Source organism: Homo sapiens, chromosome 8, assembly GCF_000001405.40.
Source record: "Homo sapiens chromosome 8, GRCh38.p14 Primary Assembly".
NCBI classification, from domain to species: Eukaryota; Metazoa; Chordata; class Mammalia; order Primates; family Hominidae; genus Homo; species Homo sapiens.
This window is the reverse complement of record NC_000008.11, coordinates 4845147-4865768: the sequence shown is the minus strand read 5'-3', so window position 1 is coordinate 4865768 and position 20622 is coordinate 4845147. Positions and strand designations below refer to the sequence as shown.

At 38.8% G+C, this 20622-nt stretch overlaps 1 protein-coding gene across 3 annotated transcripts in view, besides 1 other annotated feature; it reads left to right on the top strand.

The window, feature by feature from the left end:
* Positions 1–20622, top strand: part of CSMD1 (CUB and Sushi multiple domains 1) — a 2059554-nt gene that overhangs the window by 129146 nt on the left and 1909786 nt on the right. The gene's annotated exons all lie outside the window — the stretch shown is intronic.
* Positions 10486–11059: an enhancer, noted in NCBI's record as "H3K27ac-H3K4me1 hESC enhancer chr8:4712232-4712805 (GRCh37/hg19 assembly coordinates)". NCBI's record gives its function as "activates a minimal SCP1, AML or CMV promoter by ChIP-STARR-seq in primed H9 embryonic stem cells {active_cell/tissue: H9 hESC(primed)}" and the evidence as "EXISTENCE:reporter gene assay evidence [ECO:0000049][PMID:30033119]".

Here is a 20622-nt window from a genome sequence, read left to right as displayed (position 1 = left end):
TTGGGGCTAGGGTTGAGCTTTTCTCTCTTATATTAAGTAAATTTAGATACATTTTGCATTAGAACAAATCTGATTGATGGAAGTACCCCTCCCAATGATTATAAAAATAAAAATGCAAAATTGAAGTGCATTGTACTTAGATCTTCGTAAAAATGGAAACTGAAAAGGCGTATGCAACAGTGGAAATTGGAATCATTGCATTCCATGTTGGGGTGATGAGCGACATTCTTCTCCAAGTGATTTTCTAATATATTGTTGCATCATGTTTAAAGTACGAGGAAACCTACTGAAGCTGTGTATATATTACTCAAAGTCATCAGTTATAGGCAGAAAGAAAATGACAACCTATTGAAGCTGTGTATATATTACTCAAAGTCATCAGTTATAGGCAGAAAGAAAATGACAAGTCAGTTGCTGATTTCGTCTTGCAGTAAGTTACGAGATTCTTAATGAGATTTTCTCTTTATTCAAAACAGAAGCAGTATGTAGTATTTTCTTAGGATGAATAACATAGAAGTTTTATGTTGGTACAAGTATTTAATTTTTTAAATAAAGGACTTATCATTATGCATGAGAATGATATTAGAACATGTCATTAAAGTAAAACAAGAATAAGATTAGTTGTGTAAAATGTTATAAAACTTTGAATTTTATCACTATTACATAATTCATCCAGGTAACAGAAAACCACGTGTACCCCAAAACCTATTGAAATAAAAATTTAAAAAATAAAGCAAACACAAAAATAAAATTTTAAAATTTAAAAAATCAGACTAAATTTTCAAATTATATAATAATATTATAATATTTAAATATGTCTTTCAGAATACCAGTGTTGTAGAACAGTTATATCAAGTGTGTGTGTGTGTGTTTGTGTGTGTGTGTGTGTGTGTAGTAGAATCCAATATTTCAGTGATATTAGGCCAATTACTTTAAATGTTATATACAATGAAAAGATTACAGAGAATACAAAAATTATCTGCTTTAGCTAACGTATGAAAATAATCAAATTGTTATGACTCATATGGAAAATATACTTCGAATTTTTTAAAATTCAAAGGTAGTTTCTGCAGAGACCTTTATTTAAACCAGGTTAGTAGAACTATTAATATCTGCTTGTGTGTATTCATTGAATACAATTTTAAAATTAATAAAGCTAGTAACTATAATAATGATATAAAATAAAGATCATTATGAACTCTGGCAAAACATAATTATGATGATCACTCTGCCCATAAAAAAATCACATATGCAAAAACTAAATAGAAATCAAACAATGTTATAGGGTTTCTGAGCAATGATTTTTGTCTATTGAAGTAGATAATTAAAGGCAAATTTGTGGATATAGTAAAGTAAGGAAGTGATATTTTTTAAACCATTGAAAGACAAATACATTTTTACGTAATTACTTGTTTTTTGTTTTCATTCTAATTATATGTCGTCAATTTGGCATCATCCTTTTTTAGTTCTAAATTTGTGTGTGTGTGTCTTTGTGTGTGTAGGTATGTATTTCTCAAAATGCTAAGTATGTTATTTTGGACACTTTACTAGCAACTTGAAATTCAGTCTGTTTTGGTTGTACTTCATTATTATTTGAGGTGTCGGGAAAATCCACAGAAGTGATCAATTTAATAAAAAATACCCAGACAAAGTTTTCAACTATAATTTTATAGACTGAGTTATATAATTACACTTTTTTACTTGTAACATGGCAAAAAGTGGTCCATGAAATAAACATGCTATTAATGTAAAGCATATTGCCATATATAGACATGTACTGAATAAAATATGAATCATTTTTCAATCATGTCTTGACATTTATTTTAGGATTTATTTATGAAGAAAAATAACATTTCACTTCCTTTTTGCTTTTAATTTAATTTATACAATTTTGTGAAGGCAGAATAAAATCAAGAAAAAGTATAAAAAATTTCATTTCTTTTTCCTAAAGGATTTTCATGTTCTATTCAAATGTACTCCAAGTAAAGAAAATATACAAATCAACACATTTATCAAAAGCACAAGTTACATTGTATACATTTTTCAAAGGATAAGTCTTTTATTGTTGATTAATTAAATCTAAGATATGCACACATTTAGATTCAAATTAGACATTCTTGCTGTGTCCCCTGGGTGGATATGGAGAGGTGGGAGTGTTGTTTTTGTGAGAATATGAAGAGATTGTGCAAAATTGTTGCTAAAAAAATGCAGGAATGAGAATATGGGATACCAATAGGAATGAGTTACCCTTTTCATTAAAATATTCAACACTGAACTAAATGTTACTAGAATATGTATAAAATTTAAAAATGAATGTTCTAGAATCTGGATTCATGCTCTGGTCTATTGAGTCTCATGGGGAGGGCCAAAGGCATTCTCTTTACTTAAGGCTTGCATTCATAATAATGTTGGCCAAGGACTTCTATGATTTTATGATAATATGACAATAACTGCCATTTATTGAGAGCTTTTTATATACCATGCGCCGTTCTAAAAATTTGTATATGTATTCTCAGATAATTCTCAAAACACATGATTATTTTTCCTCATTTTGGAGATGAATAGTAAAAACTGAGGTGAAGAGAAATGAAGCACCTTGTCAATTCATATTTCTAATTATTAATGTAAACTCAGTAATTTATTATTTCATTTTTCATGATCCTAGCCACTGAGCTTTCCGGCTACTATAACAGTGTTCACCAGAATCACCAGGGACCTCACATTGTCAAGCCCAAGGGTCGCTGTCAGAGTGTGTTCCCCTTGATCTACGGGGGTATTTGCTGGTTCCCTCTTGGGCACCCTGACTTGGCTTTGTGGCCATTATCTCTCTTAGTTTCCCTCCAGCCTCTCTTGGTGCTGTGTCTCCCACGGCTCTACCAGTCCTTCCTCATGTTCCTGACTTCTGAACATCTTAAGACTTGGAGTCACACTTGGGAGGTCTTCAACTTTCTAGCTACCCCAAATCCCTTTAGGCTGTCACCGGATTTCATGATTCCAAGAACCTTTTCCAAGTTGTCGCTACTGTGTTTTTATTTCCGGCCCAGACGTCCTTGAACAGTTCCTCCCATGGCCTTGCTTATCTCAGTAAATGGCACTTGCAGGTGTTAATTCAAGAAACTTGGTGTCCTCCTTGGTTTCTGTTTTTCTCTAAAACCGTATTCCAATTTTTTATCTTATTTTAATGGTTCTAACATCAAAATATATCCACGATCTAGTCTCTTCTTACCACCTCCACTACTCTTCTTCGTCCAAACCACGATGATATTTCACTGCTTATCACTGCAGACTTTTAACCATTCTTTTTACTTTTAATGTAGTCACACATGCCTCTACCCAACACAGAGTTCATCATCTACTTCACAGCTACAGTGATTCTTTGAAAGAACTACTGCTAGCCAAATCAAGTTAATTCTCCATCTGTGCAAAGCCCTCTAATAATTTTCCATCTCATTCATAAGGTTCTGATGATGGACATTGATACTCTCACTTACAGGCTCCCAGTACCTCTGTGAGCTCATCTCGTTCACTCCTCTCTACCTCACTTTCTGTATTCAAGCCCCCCAGGCCTCGTTGAGGTTCAAGGAACAATAAACCACTCCCACCTCAGCTCCCGTTCACTCCCTGATGCCTCCTTGTCCCCAGACCCTTAGAGCTGACTCACTCCTTCCTTCCTTCTTGGATCAGAAGACGCCATTCCCAGTAGCATTTCCCTGAGCATCCTGTATTAAAACGCAATCCCTCCTGTTCAGTAACTCCAAAATCCTACTTTATTTTCATGTTCAATACTAGTTAATGCATAATATTCTATATATTTATTTATATTTGTTGCATCCCCGTTTTGAAATGTAAGTATAATAAGTGGAAAGTTCTTCAGGTTCTCCCTCTGTCTCTCTTCCTCTGCTTCTTGAGAACTAACCATTGTTTCTCACACATATTATGAAATCAATACATAATTCTTTAATAAATTTTGAGCAAAAAGTTATTTAGAGCTTTATATCTTAGACATTTTGTTCAAAATGTACATCCTTTGTACATTCTTTAACGTATGCCATATTTAAAGCAAATTAACCTATTTTTTGAGATCACTGTGTTGTTATGTGGTAGAAAATACCACAAAGTTTTAAATGCATATATATTTTAGACAAATTTTAATTATCCACAGCCTCTGTTCAAAGAACTTCAGTTGACAATCCTAAATAGTGTTTGCATTTTTCTTCGTAACATCCACCTATGTCATTTTCTCCATACCCCTCACTTGACACTAAATCGCAGACACATCATACAAACATACATAAAGGATTGCTTAGTTGTCTACGAGCACTTCCAAGAACTCTGGTCGCTTTCTTCACATGTTTCTGGATGTTTACAGCGTAGTAATAGAGTCAAGCTGCCTTCAGAAGGAACTATTGAACCCATAAAGCCTGAAATGTCAAGCTTCACATTTTTGTTTGATATGGATGTAAGTTCACGATTATGTGCATACTGTACCTTTGTTGCTGTGACTTTCTGAATGTATAGCCGCAGAGATATATTACTGTCTACAGAAGTAATGAAATAGATTAGAGCAGGTCTCTGAGATAAATGTCAGAATCTATTATCAACTTCCATTTATGTATTTGTTCAACGAACATTCACTAAATACGTACTAAATTCAAGAAACATTTCTGGCCCCTAAAAATAAGATAAGATTCTGGAGCTTTAGAACAAAAGGAGCTTTTAGAGGAAAAGGAGACATAGATAAATAAGCACCTAGAATATGTATTACAATAGTAGTGAGAACGTGAATTTTTGGCAGCACAGGTTTACATTCTTGAAACTGAGGATATCAGAGCTGAAGTTTGAGGGATGAACAGAGATTCACTATGTAGAGTCAGAGGAAGGTTTCTCTAGCAGGAGAAGCAGGGATGTGAACGTTTTTACGCAGAAATAATTATGCTGTGTTGGGGACACTGCAAATGATTACAGGAAGTTGCAATTTGGTATTATCAGGGATGTAGTGATAAATTACCAGGAACGTATGCCCATACGAAGAGCACTGTATGTTACATAAATGTATTTGTCTTTATTCCAGAGTGAATGAGGAACATTTCAAACATTGTGAGTAGGTGTGTTAGGCTGTATTAGCATTGCCATAAAGAAATATGTCAGAGACTGGGTAATTTATAAAGAAGAGAGTTTTAATTGGCTCATGATTCTGCAGGCTGTACAGAAAGCATGGCACGAGCATCTGCTCAAGTTCCAGCGAGGCCTCAGAGAGCTTTTACTCATGGTAAAAGATGATGAGGGAGCCAGCAAATTACATGGCGAGAGCAGGGCCAAGAGAGCAAGGGTGGAGTGGCACACACTTTTTTTTTTTTTATATACTTTAAGTTTTTGGGTACATGTGCCCATTGTGCAGGTTAGTTACATATGTATACATGTGCCATGCTGGTACGCTGCACCCACTAACATGTCATCTAGCATTAGGTATATCTCCTAATGCTATCCCTCCCCCCTCCCCCCACCCCACAACAGTCCCCTGAGTGTGATATTCCCCTTCCTGTGTCCATGTGATCTCCTTGTTCAGTTCCCACCTATGAGTGAGAATATGCGGTGTTTGGTTTTTTGTTCTTGCGATAGTTTACTGAGAATGATGATTTCCAATTTCATCCATGTCCCTACAAAGGACGTGAACTCATCATTTTTTTATGGCTGCATAGTATTCCATGGTGTATACGTGCCACATTTTCTTAATCCAGTCTATCATTGTTGGACATTTGGGTTGGTTCCAAGTCTTTGCTATCGTGAATAACGCGGCAATAAACATATGTGTGCATGTGTCTTTATAGCAGCATGATTTATAATCCTTTGGGTATATACCCAGTAATGGGATGGCTGGGTCAAATGGTATTTCCAGTTCTACATCCCTGAGGAATCGCCACACTGACTTCCACAATGGTTGAACTAGTTTACAGTCCCACCAACAGTGTCAAAGTGTTCCTATTTCTCCACATCCTCTCCAGCACCTGTTGTTTCCTGACTTTTTAATGATTGCCATTCTAACTGGTGTGAGATGGTATCTCATTGTGGTTTTGATTTGCATTTCTCTGATGGCCAGGGATGATGAGCATTTTTTCATGTGTTTTTTGGCTGTATAAACGTCTTCTTTTGAGAAGTGTCTGTTCATGTCCTTCGCCCACTTTTTGATGGGGTTGTTTGTTTTTTTCTTGTAAATTTGTTTGAGTTCATTGTAGATTCTGGATATTGCCCTTGGTCAGATGAGTAGGTTGCGAGAATTTTCTCCCATTGTGTAGGTTGCCTGTTCACTCTGATGGTAGTTTCTTTTGCTGTGCAGAAGCTCTTAATTAGATCCCATTTGTCAATTTTTTCTTTTGTTGCTATTGCTTTTTGTGTTTTAGACATGAAGTCCTTGCCCATGCCTATGTCCTGAATGGTAATGCCTAGGTTTTCTTCTAGGTTATTTATGGTTTTAGGTCTAACGTTTAAGTCTTTAATCCATCTTGAATTGATTTTTGTATAAGGTGTAAGGAAGGGATCCAGTTTCAGCTTTCTACATATGGCTAGCCAGTTTTCCCAGCACCATTTATTAAATAGGGAATCCTTTCCCCATTGCTTGTTTTTCTCAGGTTTGTCAAAGATCAGATAGTTGCAGATATGTGACATTATTTCTGAGGGCTCTGTTCTGTTCCATTGATCTATATCTCTGTTTTGGTACCAGTACCATGCTGTTTTGGTTACTGTAGCCTTGTAGTATAGTTTGAAGTCAGGTAGCGTGATGCCTCCAGCTTTGTTCTTTTGGCTTAGGATTGCCTTGGCGATGCGGGCTCTTTTTTGGTTCCATATGACCTTTAAAGTAGTTTTTTCCAATTCTGTGAAGAAAGTCATTGGTAGCTTGATGGGGATGGCATTGAATCTGTAAATTACCTTGGGCAGTATGGCCATTTTCACGATATTGATTCTTCCTACCCATGAGCGTGGAATGTTCTTCCATTTGTTTGTATCCTCTTTTATTTCCTTGAGCAGTGGTTTGTAGTTCTCCTTGAAGAGGTCCTTCACATCCCTTGTAAGTTGGATTCCTAGGTATTTTATTCTCTTTGAAGCAATTGTGAATGGGAGTTCACTCGTGATTTGGCTCTCTGTTTGTCTGTTGTTGGTGTATAAGAATGCTTGTGATTTTTGAACATTGATTTTGCATCCTGAGACTTTGCCGAAGTTGTTTATCAGCTTAAGGAGATTTTGGGCTGAGACATTGGGGTTTTCTGGATATACAATCATGTCGTCTGCAAACAGGGACAATTTGACTTCCTCTTTTCCTAATTGAATACCCTTTATTTCCTTTTCCTGCCTAATTGCCCTGGCCAGAACTTCCAACACTACGTTGAATAGGAGTGGTGAGAGAGGGCATCCCTGTCTTGTGCCCGTTTTCAAAGGGAATGCTTCCAGTTTTTGCCCATTCAGTATGATATTGGCTGTGGGTTTGTCATAGATAGCTTTTATTATTTTGAAATACGTCCCATCAATACCTAATTTATTGAGAGTTTTTAGCATGAAGGTTTGTTGAATTTTGTCAAAGGCTTTTTCTGCATCTATTGAGATAATCATGTGGTTTTTGTCTTTGGCTCTGTTTATATGCTGGATTACATTTATTGATTTGCGTATATTGAACCAGCCTTGCATCCCAGGGATGCAGCCCACTTGATCATGGTGGATAAGCTTTTTGATGTGCTGCTGCATTCGTTTTGCCAGTATGTTACTGAGGATTTTTGCGTCAATGTTCATCAAAGATATTGGTCTAAAATTCTCTTTTTTGGTTGTGTCTCTGCCTGGCTTTGGTATCAGAATGATGCTGGCCTCATAAAATGAGTTAGGGAGGATTCCCTCTTTTTCTATTGATTGGAATAGTTTCAGAAGGAATGGTACCAGTTCCTCCTTGTACCTCTGGTGGAATTCGGCTGTGAATCCATCTGGTCCTGGACTCTTTTTGGTTGGTAAGCTATTGATTATTGCCACAATTTCAGATCCTGTTATTGGTCTATTCAGAGATTCAACTTCTTCCTGGTTTAGTCTTGGGAGAGTGTATGTGTCCAGGAATTTATCCATTTCTTCTAGATTTTCTAGTTTATTTGCGTAGAGGTGTTTGTAGTATTCCCTGTTGGTAGTTTGTATTTCTGTGGGATCGGTGGTGATATCCCCTTTATCATTTATTACTGCGTCTATTTGATTCTTCTCTCTTTTTTTCATTAGTCTTGCTAGCGGTCTATCAATTTTGTTGATCCTTTCAAAAAACGAGCTCCTGGATTCATTAATTTTTTGAAGGGTTTTTTGTATCTCTATTTCCTTCAGTTCTGTTCTGATTTTAGTTATTTCTTGCCTTCTGCTAGCTTTTGAATGTGTTTGCTCTTGCTTTTCTAATTCTTTTAATTGTGATGTTAGGGTGTCAATTTTGGATCTTTCCTGCTTTCTCTTGTGGGCATTTAGTGCTATAAATTTTCCTCTACACACTGCTTTGAATGCGTCCCAGAGATTCTGGTATGTTGTGTCTTTGTTCTCGTTGGTTTCAAAGAACATCTTTATTTCTGCCTTCATTTCGTTATGTACCCAGTAGTCATTCATGAGCAGGTTGTTCAGTTTCCATGTAGTTGAGCGGTTGTGAGTGAGATTCTTAATCCTGAATTCTAGTTTGATTGCACTGTGGTCTGAGAGATAGTTTGTTATAATTTCTGTTCTTTTACATTTGCTGAGGAGAGCTTTACTTCCCAGTATGTGGTCAATTTTGGAATAGGTGTGGTGTGGTGCTGAAAAAAATGTATATTCTGTTGATTTGGGGTGGAGAGTTCTGTAGATTTCTATTAGGTCCACTTGGTTCAGAGCTGAGTTCAATTCCTGGGTATCCTTGTTGACTTTCTGTCTCGTTGATCTGTGTAATGTTGACAGTGGGGTGTTAAAGTCTCCCATTATTAATGTGTGGGAGTCTAAGTCTCTTTGTAGGTCACTCAGGACTTGCTTTATGAATCTTGGTGCTCCTGTATTGGGTGCATATATATTTAGGATAGTTAGCTCTTCTTGTTGAATTGATCCCTTTAGCATTATGTAATGGCCTTCTTTGTCTCTTTTGATCTTTGTTGGTTTAAAGTCTGTTTTATCAGAGACTAGGATTGCAACCCCTGCCTTTTTTTGTTTTCCATTGGCTTGGTAGATCTTCCTCCATCCTTTTATTTTGAGCCTATGTGTGTCTCTGCACGTGAGATGGGTTTCCTGAATACAGCACACTGATGGGTGTTGACTATTTATCCAATTTGCCAGTCTGTGTCTTTTAATTGGAGCATTTAGTCCATTGACATTTAAAGTTAATATTGTTATGTGTGAATTTGATCCTGTCATTATGATGTTAGCTGGTTATTTTGCTCGTTAGTTGATGCAGTTTCTTCCTAGTCTCGATGGTCTTTACATTTTGGCATGATTTTGCAGCAGCTGGTACCGTTTGTTCATTTCCATGTTTAGTGCTTCCTTCAGGAGCTCTTGTAAGGCAGGCCTGGTGGTGACAAAAATCTCTCAGCATTTGCTTGTCTGCAAAGGATTTTATTTCTCCTTCACTTATGAAGCTTAGTTTGGCTGGATATGAAATTCTGGGTTGAAAATTCTTGTCTTTAAGAATGTTGAATATTGGCCCCCACTCTCTTCTGGCTTGCAGGGTTTCTGTCGAGAGATCCGCTGTTACTCTGATGGGCTTCCTTTTGAGGGTAACCCGACCTTTCTCTCTGGCTGCCCTTAACATTTTTTCCTTCATTTCAACTTTGGTGAATCTGACAATTATGTGTCTTGGAGTTGCTCTTCTCGAGGAGTATCTTTGTGGCGTTCTCTGTATTTCCTGAATCTGAACGTTGGCCTGCCTTGCTAGATTGGGGAAGTTCTCCTGGATAATATCCTGCAGAGTGTTTTCCAACTTGGTTCCATTCTCCCCATCACTTTCAGGTACACCAATCAGACGTAGATTTGGTCTTTTCACATAGTCCCTTATTTCTTGGAGGCTTTGCTCATTTCTTTTTATTCTTTTTTCTCTAGACTTCCCTTCTCGCTTCATTTCATTCATTTCATCTTCCATCGCTGATACCCTATCTTCCAGTTGATTGCATTGGCTCCAGAGGCTTCTGCATTCTTCACGTAGTTCTCGCGCCTTGGTTTTCAGCTCCATCAGCTCCTTTAAGCAGTTCTTGGTATTGGTTATTCTAGTTATACATTCTTCTAAATTTTTTTCAAAGTTTTCAACTTCTTTGCCTTTCGTTTGAATGTCCTCCCGTAGCTGAGAGTAATTTGATCGTCTGAAGCCTTCTTCTCTCAGCTCGTCAAAGTCATTCTCCATCCAGCTTTGTTCCGTTGCTGGTGAGGAACTGCGTTCCTTTGGAGGAGGAGAGGCGCTCTGCTTTTTGGAGTTTCCAGTTTTTCTGTTCTGTTTTTTCCCCATCTTTGTGGTTTTATCTACTTTTGGTCTTTGATGATGGTTATGTACAGATGGGTTTTTGATGTGGATATCCTTTCTGTTTGTTAGTTTTTCTTCTAACAAAGAGGACCGTCAGCTGCAGGTCTGTTGGAGTACCCTGCCGTGTGAGGTGTCAGTGTGCCCCTGCTGGGGGGTGCCTCCCAGTTAGGCTGCTCGGGGGTCAGGGGTCAGGGACCCACTTGAGGAGGCAGTCTGCCCGTTCTCAGATCTCCAGCTGCTTGCTGGGAGAACCACTGCTCTCTTCAAACCTGTCAGACAGGGACATTTAAGTCTGCAGAGGTTACTGATGTCTTTTTGTTTGTCTGTGCCCTGCCCCCAGAGGTGGAGCCTACAGAGGCAGGCAGACCTCCTTGAGCTGTGCTGGGCTCCACCCAGTTCGAGCTTCCTGGCTGCTTTGTTTACCTAAGCAAGCCTGGGCAATGGCGGGCGCCCCTCCCCCAGCCTCGCTGCTGCCTTGCAGTTTGATCTCAGACTGCTGTGCTAGCAATCAGCGAGACTCTGTGGGTGTAGGACCCTCCGAGCCAGGTGTGGGATAGAATCTCGTGGTGCACCGTTTTTTAAGCCCGTCGGAAAAGGGCAGTATTCGGGTGGGAGTGACCCGATTTTCCAGGTGCTGTCCGTCACCCCTTTCTTTGACTCAGAAAGGGAACTCCCTGACCCCTTCCGCTTCCCAAGTGAGGCAATGCCTCGCCCTGCTTCAGCTCACGCACGGTGCGCGCACCCACTGACCTGCACCCACTGTCTGGCACTCCCTAGTGAGATGAACCCGGTACCTCAGATGGAAATACAGAAATCACCCGTCTTCTGCGTCGCTCACAGTGGGAGCTGTAGACCGGAGCTGTTCCTATTCGGCCATCTTGGCTCGATCCGGAGTGGCACACGCTTCTAAACAACCAAATCCTTTGAGAATTCAATCACTACTATGAGGACAGCAGGAAGCCATTTATGAGGGATCTGCCTCGGCAACCCAACACCTCCTACCAAGCCCTGTCTCCAACACTGGGGATTATATTTCAACATAAGACTTATAGAGAGCAAATACCCAAATCATATCTTTCCACTCCTGCATCCCCAAATCTCATGCCCTTCTCACATTGCAAAATAGAATCATCTCCTGCCAATAGCCCCCAAAATCTTAACTCACTTCTGCATTAACTCAAAAGTTCTATGTCTCATGTCCAATGTCTCTTCTGGAGATGAGTTCGTTCCCCCTGTGAGACTGTAAAATAAAAACCAAGTTGCATACTTCCAAGATACAATTGTGTTCCAGGAATTAGGTAAATATTCTCATACCAAAGGAAAAAAAATGGCCAAAAGAAAGGGGTAATAAGCCCCACATAATTCTGAAACCCAGCAGAGCTGTCATTAAATCTTAAATCCCCAAAATTATCTCCTTTGACTGTATGTCCTGCATCCAGGTCACACTACTGCAAGGAGTGGGCTCCCAAGGCTTTGGTCAGGTCCACTGTGGCTTTGTGGGGTGCAGTGTGGCTGCTTTCATGTGCTGGAGTTGAGTGCCTATGACTTTTCCATGACGAGATTGCATGATGCTGTTAGATCTACCATTCCTCAGTTTGGAAGGCAGTGGTCTTCTTCCCACAGCTCCACTGGGTAGTGTTCCAGTGGGGACATTCCATGGGGTTCCAATGCCACATTTCCCTTTGGCACTGCCCTATTCAAATATCTGTGTGGGACTCTACCTTTGTGGCAGCCTTCTGCCTGAGCACTCAGGCTTTCTGATACATCTTCTGAAATCTATGTGGAAGCTGCCAAGCCTCCTTTATTCTTGCATTCTGTGCACTAGCAGGCTTAATATCACACTGTGTTGAAGCTGCCAAGCTTATGGATTGCACCCTCTGAAGCAGCAATATGAGCTGTACCTGTGGCACTTTGAGCCATGGATAGAGCTGGAGCAGTGGGGATGCAGGGAACAGCCACCTTGCATTCCTGGCTTCAGAGCCCTGAGTCTCACCCATAAAATTGTTCTTTCTTTGTAGACCTCTGGGCCTGTCATGGGAAGGGCTGCCTCATAGATCTCTGAAATGCATTCCAGGGCTTTATCCCATTGTCTTGGCTAGCAGCACCTGGGTCCCTTTTAGTCATGCAAATCTCTCTAGAAAGTGTTTGCTCCATAGCCCACTTGGATTCTTCCACTAAAAACATGCTTTTCTTTTCTACCACATGGGTAGGCTGCAAATTTTCCAAATGTTTATGCTCTGCTTCCCTTTTAAATATAAGTACCAACTTTAAGTCATTTAATGTGCCTGCATCTGAGTGTAGACTGTTATAAGCAGCCAGGCCACATCATGAATGCATTGCTGCTTAGAAATTCCTTCTGCCATGTACCCTCTCATCATTCTTAAGCTCAACCTTCCACAGATTCCTAGGGCCTGAAAACAATGCAACCAAGTTCTTTGCTAGGGCCTAACATAGGTGACCTTCACTCCAGTTCCCAGTAAGTTCCTCATTTTCATCTAAGACCTCATCAGCCTGCCCATCACTGTCCACATTTCTATCAGCATTTTGGTTATAACCACTTAACCAGTTTCTAAGGATCTCCAAACTTTCCCTCATCTTCCTGTCGTCTTTTGAGTCCTCCAAACTCTTCCAATCTCTACCCATTACCTAGTTCCAAAGCCACTTCCATATTTTCAAGTATCTTTATAGCAACATCCCACTCCTGGTACCATTTTTCTGTATTAGGCTGTTTTTGAATTTCCATGTAGAAATACCCAAGGCTAGGTAACTTATAAATGAAAGAGGTTTAATTGGCTGACCTGTAGATGAGGCCTCAACTGGTGAGGCCTCATCAAGCATTCAATCATGTTGGAAGTGAAAGGGGCAGACAGTGCATCACATAGCAAGAGTGAGAACGAGAGAGAGAGGAGAGGAGCCACATACTTTTAAACAACCAGATGTTGCAAGAACTCTCTCACTGTTGCAAGGATAGCAGGAAGCCATCTATGAGGGATCAGCTCCCACAACCCCAGCACCTCCCACAAGGCCCCACCTCCAAAACTAGGGATTACATTTCAACCTGAGATTTGGAGGCAACAAATATCCAAACCATATAAGTATGTTTACTGTTATAGAACAATGCTGGCAAAAATAGATTAGAGTAAACAAACATATATGGTGTTCCCAGTTGGGAGAAAATAGCAGTTTCACAAGTAAAAGATATAAAGAGAGAGGGAATCTGATGTAAGGAAGTATACACATTAAGCCCTGCTGAGGAGGTATTACAGGTTAGACCTTAGTGACAGATCAAGCGTCCAGAGAGAGATTAAATCTATAGGGAAAAAACTTAGACTAGTGGTTTACTCAGCCTGTGTACAAGGCAGAGGGAGAATGAAGAGTGATAGCAAATGAGTATAAATTTTCTCTATGGGGTGTGAGAAATATTCTGAAATCTAATTTTAGTGATGGTGGCTTCACTCTGTAATTATCTTGGGAAACATTTAATCACACAAGTTAAAGGGGAGGGTGACTTAAAAGTACGTTCATCTCAATAGACCTGTCTTTGAAGAAGAAGAAGTCTTAAGGTTCTTGTTAGTCATATGGGTGATTGCCGATGCCACACAATGGGACTCTTAGTGAGGAGAGGGAGAGCAGGAGACATTGAGAAGTCAGGTAATCCCATAGATTATTATGAAACTCCCACATGGAGTTGGATAGGCTATTGAATGCCAACTGAAGATACAGGTCATAGGTTCTGAACCTATGGGGGTAGACTACCTCAACCCTGGAGAATGTATAGGGGAGTGAGAAGCGCCATGGATGAAATACTCAAATATCAAAAAAGAAAAAAAATAGAGGTTGACAAGGGAAGAATTTAAGAAATTGACGAAGAAGATGCAGCCAGGAAAAAAACAAAAAAGGAAAAGCAGGAATTGGTGGGATCATGAAAGCCAGTGAAAGAAGGAGCTTAAAAAGGGGGCGAGAAAAGTTGGCATGTATACACCATAGAATACTATGCAGTCATAAAAAATGATGAGTTCATGTCCTTTGTAGGGACATGGATGAAGCTGGAAACCATCATTCTCAGCAAACTATTGCCAAGGACAAAAATCCAAACACTGCATATTTTCACTCATAGGTGGGAATTGAATAATAACACATGGACACAGGAAGGGGAATATCACACTCCGGGGACTGTTGTGGGGTGTGGGGAGGGGGGAGGGATAACATTAGGAGATATACCTCATGCTAAATGATGTGTTAATGGGTGCAGCACACCAACATGGCACATGTATACATATGTAACTAACCTGCACTTTGTGCACATGTACCCTAAAACTCAAAGTGTATATATTAAAAAAAGGAAATTAACAAGGATAAAAAAATAACCACAAAAAGTGGGGGGGCAAGGGAAACAATCTTCAATGCATAAAGGTTCATGTGACATGAGGACTAAACATACTTTATTGAATTCAGCAAAAGGATGCCACTGGTTGAATTTTTGAGGGCAGTTTGGGTAAAATAATAGGCAAGCCACTAGGTTTGGGGTTGAAAGAAAATTGAGGTACTGGAACAATGAGTGCACACAACTGCTTCACGACACTCTGCACTTCATCCAGAGAGAGAGAGAGACAAAGCTAAGGGGGTAAGGAGCAAGGACTTTGTTCTGATGGAAGAGTCATAGAGAGAAAAGAAAGAGACTAAGTGATGAGGAAGAGAGGATGAAGGATTTCTACTTCGCTGAAGTCCTGGGAGAGAGTGCTGGGGGAGGAGTGGTGCAAAGGAGGGAAATGGAAGATTTTGGAAAATAACCAATGTTTGCAATTGTCATGTGACTGAAGGGAGAGGAAGCTTCCTGAGCAATCAATGAAAAAAGAGTAAAGATGTTTTTTACTAAAGGCAAGAGCAAAAAAAAAAAAAAAAAAAAAAAGATAAATTGGATTTCATCAAAATAAAAACATTTATTCTTCAAAGAGACCATTAAGACAGTAAAAACACAAGCCGTAGAATGGGAGAAAATGTTTGGGGATTGTGTATCTGATAAAGGATTTGCATCTAGAACATAGAAAGTACTCTTGGAGCTCAGTAATAAAATGACAGATAACCCAGTTAAAAAATAGGTTAATGATCTTCATATACATTTTACAAATACCAATATTCACATAAAGAGATTTTTGACGTTATTAGGCATCAGGGGAATGCAATCCAAAACCACCATGAGATCCTACTTCACACCCACCAGGATGGCAAGAATAAAAAAAGCCAAGTATAGTACGTACGTAACACAGATGTGGAGAAATTAGAACCCGCATGTCTGCTGCTGGTGGGAATGGAAAAAAGTTCAGCCACATTAGCAAAGAGTCTGGTAATTCCTGAAATGTTTAAACATAGCATCATAATATAATCGAGAAATGCCATTTCTAATATACCCATGAGCAATGAAAACATATACAGTTACATGTTACATAACAATGAGGAAATATTCTGAGAAATGCTTTGTTAGGCAATTTCATCAATGTATGAACATCATTGAGTGCACTTACTAAAACCAAGATGGTTTAGCTTCCTAGAGACCTAGGATGTATGGTATAGCCTGTTGCCCCTAAGCTTCAAATCTGTACAGCATGTTACTGCACTAAATAATATGGACAACTATAATACAATATCAAGTATTTGTGTATTAGAGCATTTTTAAAAATAGAAAAGGTCACTAAAATTATGGTATAAAAGATGAAAAATGCTACACCTGTATAGAGTACTTGTCATAAATGGAGTTTGCAACCTGGAAGTAGCTCTGTAGGAGTCGGTGAGTGAGTTATAATTGAACGTGAGATCTAGGAGATTACTGTTCACTATTGTGGACTTTACAACCGTTGTACACTGAGGGTATAGCAAACTTACAAAAAGTATTTTTTTCTTTATTCTATTGAATAAAGAAAAAAATTAACTTCAGTTTATTAAATTAACTTCACCTTATTACTTTTTTCTTTATAAACTTTTAATTTTTTAAACATGTGACTCTTTTGTAATAACACATTAAAATATGAAACACATGCACAGGTGTACAATAATATTTTCTTTCTTTATAGCTTTATTCTACAAGCTTTTTTCTAGCTTGAAATTTTGTTTTATTTTACTTTTTGAAAACGTTTTTGTTAAAAGCTAAGACACAAACGCACATTAGCCTAGACTTACACAAGGTCAGAATCATACATATCACTGTCTTCTACCACCAAATTTTGTCCCACTAGAAGGTCTTCAGGGACTATAACAGGTGTAGAGCTGTCATCTCCTAGGATGACAACGCTTTATTCTCCAATACTTCCTGAAGGACCTGCCTGAGGCTGTTTTACAGTTAATACTTTTATAAGTAGAACAAGTACCTTCTAAAGCAACAATAAAAAGTACAATATAGTAAAACTATAAACCAGAAACATAGTTGTTTATTATTATTAAGTATTATGTACTGGGTTGGGCGCGTTGGCTCACGCCTGTAATCCCAGCACTTTGGAAGGCTGAGACGGCCGAATCACCTGAGGTCAGCAGTCTGAGACTAGCCTGGCCAGCATGGTGAAACCCAGTCCCTACTATAAAAATATACAAAAATTAGCTGGGTGTGGTGGTGGGTGCCTGTAATCCCAGCTACTCGAGAGGCAGAGCCAGGATAATTGCTTGAACCAAGAAGACGGAGGTTGTAGTGAGCCGACACGGTGCCACAGCACCGCAGGCCTGGGTGACAGAGTGAGACTCCGTCTCAAAAAAAAAAAAAAGCATTATGTACTATACATCATTTTATGTGCTAGACTTTTAATGACTGGCAGCACGATAGATTTGTTTGCACCAACATCACAACAAACCCATGAGTAATGCACTGCGTTACAATGTTGGAAGACCATAGGCCATTACTAGCTCATAGGAATTTTTCAGCTCCACTATAATCTTACGTGACCACCATTGTATAGGTGGCCCATCCTTGACCAAAAGGTGGTTATCCAGCACATGACTGTATTCACACAAAAACTGGTACAACAATGTTTATGTCAACATTATTCAAACTAGGAAAAAGTGGAAACACCCCAATAGTCTATCACTAGATGAAAGGATAGACAAACTGTGCCATTTCCATACAATGAAATATTATTCAGCCAGACCAAGAATGAAGTACTAATACATGCTGCAGCATGGATGAACCTTGACAATATCCAAAAAAAATAACACAGTTGCAAAACCATACAGCATGTCTATGACTCCATTCATAGGAAATGTCCCCAACAGGGAAATCTACAGAGACAAAAGAAGACGAGTTGTTGTTCGGGCCCTGGAAGGAGAGGGTGGTGTGTGTTTGCCTTGAAGGGATGGGGGGTGGTGCTTGCTAAAGGGTACAGGGTTTCATTTTGCAGTGATGAAAATATTTAAAATTGACTATGGTGATGGTTGCATATATCTGGGAATATAATGAAACACTGAAATTTATACTTTAAATAGGTATATTGTATAGAACTTATATCTCAAGCCGTCAAAAAAAAAAAAAAAAATCCCGATAGAGAGGAATTCTATAGAAGACCTGACCAACGGTCCTGAAAACTGTCAAGGTAGGCGTGAAGAACAAGAAAAGTCAGGAAACTATCATAGTCATTGAAGAGCTTAAGGAGAAACCATGTCTAAATGTTATACAGGGTCCTCGGTGGGGTCCTGGAAGAGATAAACGATATTAGGCAAAACTGAAAAGAATCTGAATAGAGTATGGACTCTTTAATAAAATATTCCAGTATCGGCCCACTAACCATGACAAGTGTATGACACTAATTTAACATGTTAATAGTGGGGTAGTCGGGTATTAGGTGTATGGAAATTCTCTGTACAATCTACACAATTTTTCTGTAAATCCAAAAGTGTTTGAAATTTTAAAATTTATTGAAAAAGATTTATTTTTATTTGGTATCTGAAAATGTGATGTTAGTGTCATTGTTTAGGATTCAAATGTGCAAGATCTGTTGTCTGAAATTATTTATGCCAATTCTCTTAAAATCTTCTTTGAGATTCTAAAGTGCTAAAGATATAATGCATCATCAAACGCATTATTACTTTAAGCATTAATTAATTTCATATAGTGAGAGACCTTAGATTTGCATGCAAAAAGAGAGTGACTTACGAGAGAGTGGCATTCAGAAACAAAGAAGTATCTGTAAGTTCTCTTTTCACATCAAAGCTTGATACACGAGCAGAGCGTGGTGCCCTATTTTGACAAAGTTCGCCAATTATCAGAACAAGAATGCTTTTTAAAAACACAAGTTGTTTCTTCTACTGACAAATCATTAACGAAATGATGTAAGGGATCTTGAAAAAAAAATCACTACATAATCTTTTTCTCCCAATGAATAGCCTGTTTTAGAAGCACATGGTTTTTAGTTTCCAGTAAGTTTCACTATTATTCTATTTCAAGAATATTTACAGATATAGTTGATATATAAATATACGCATATATATGCCAGATATAGTTTTGCAAACACATTTGCTGTCTAATTTACTTTCTAACTTAGTTAAAAGATAAGATACCCTTGACCTGGGAAGCAAGATTAAGAATCAGAACAAGATTTTAATCTAAAATGGGACCAAGTTCAAGAAAGGAGAAATTTAAAGTGTTAGTCTACAAGTCCATGTTGTCATCCTTAGCTATTACAATTTCTAGGAATTGCTGGAGTAGTCACCAAGGCTGAGCCTCCTACAGGGGGTAGAAAAGTACCATGAGTTTAAAGCAGAATCTTACAGGAGCCTGTGGCTGGACCAAAACAGCAATGTCGGTTGTGGGAGTTGCTGTCAGGAGGCTGGTCACAGGCTCAGTCAACCAAGACAGAGAGCCGTGCTGCCAAAACCTCAAGGACAAGCCTGGCTGGGGCACTGGCTGAGTTAGTGATGGCTTTAGGAAAACCACCATGTCAGCCCTCCAAGCAAGGAAACCCATCTATAAACCCATATGCACACATCTCCTTACAGGCTGTTAGATAGTAAGGTATACATGGAAATAACAAGTTAAAGATCTTACTTCACACATTTCCAAATTTGAAAGTAAGAGCTATATTTTTTGTACAGGTCAAAAAGAAAAAAAAGATCCTGGACATGTGTTGGTACTTTGGTGCATGTGCTAGTTTTCATACACAATAGTATGCAGGACAGGAGAAAGAGATGAGGTACTCAATGGCCACGTGGAAGTTCTAACTCCTGCAACTGTTTGATTTGGGACGTAGCACAACAAACCGGGATTGGCAAAAGTGCTCATTCTGGAAAAACAAAGAAGTGAGAAAGTGGATGGCCAGTATAATGTTCTGACTCAGCAAATTTATAGCCGATTCTCTATTCTTTTGTAAGTGTATGCAAAATAGGCAAAGTTCATAGGCTAGCGTAACCTTGTCATTTTAGTTAGCCACGGTGACTGACAAAATCCTCATTAGGTAGTGGGAAAAATTCAGCTACAAATCGTATGTAAATTTCTGATGTGAATATCAATTGTCTTTAGTAAAATCCGCCCTTGTGATACTACTCACGTGATTCTTGAGCAGCTCCCTGAGCACCGGCCAGTGCTCCCTCTCTGTGCTTTCGGCAAACAGCACACCATTGTCTCCTAGACCTTGTCAAAATATTACACATCTTTCTTTCCCGTCTGTGCTTCTTCAACACTGAATGCAAAGCTCCTAAAAGAGAGCCTGGCACATGGTAGGAACCCAATAAATATTGGTTGACTATAGAAATTCTAAGAAACCACGTAGGCCAAAGTTCAACAGTGGCCAAAATACGTAGTTGAGGAGAACGTGACTTCAAAATTGGTGAATTGTCGTTCAGATGTTTTGCTGATTGCACTTGAAGATTTTTGGTTGATTATTGGTTGATTCAAGTTCTCAATGAGAGCAATGGATATCACTTGTAAACAGGATCATCCCATGTATGGTGTGTGTTGGTGTGGATATGTATCCCCTGGCTAGCTAGTGTCTACATCAAGAAAACAACCAGCACATTAACAGTGTTCGTTTTCTAAATCGAAAAATGTTGATGGCTTTCTTGTGTCTTTATCAAATATAATACTGAACAGTACAATAACCAAAATATGTAGTTAAAAATATTTGTGTAATAATGTGTTATACTCTACTTCTCATAAGAGGTGATTATTGTTA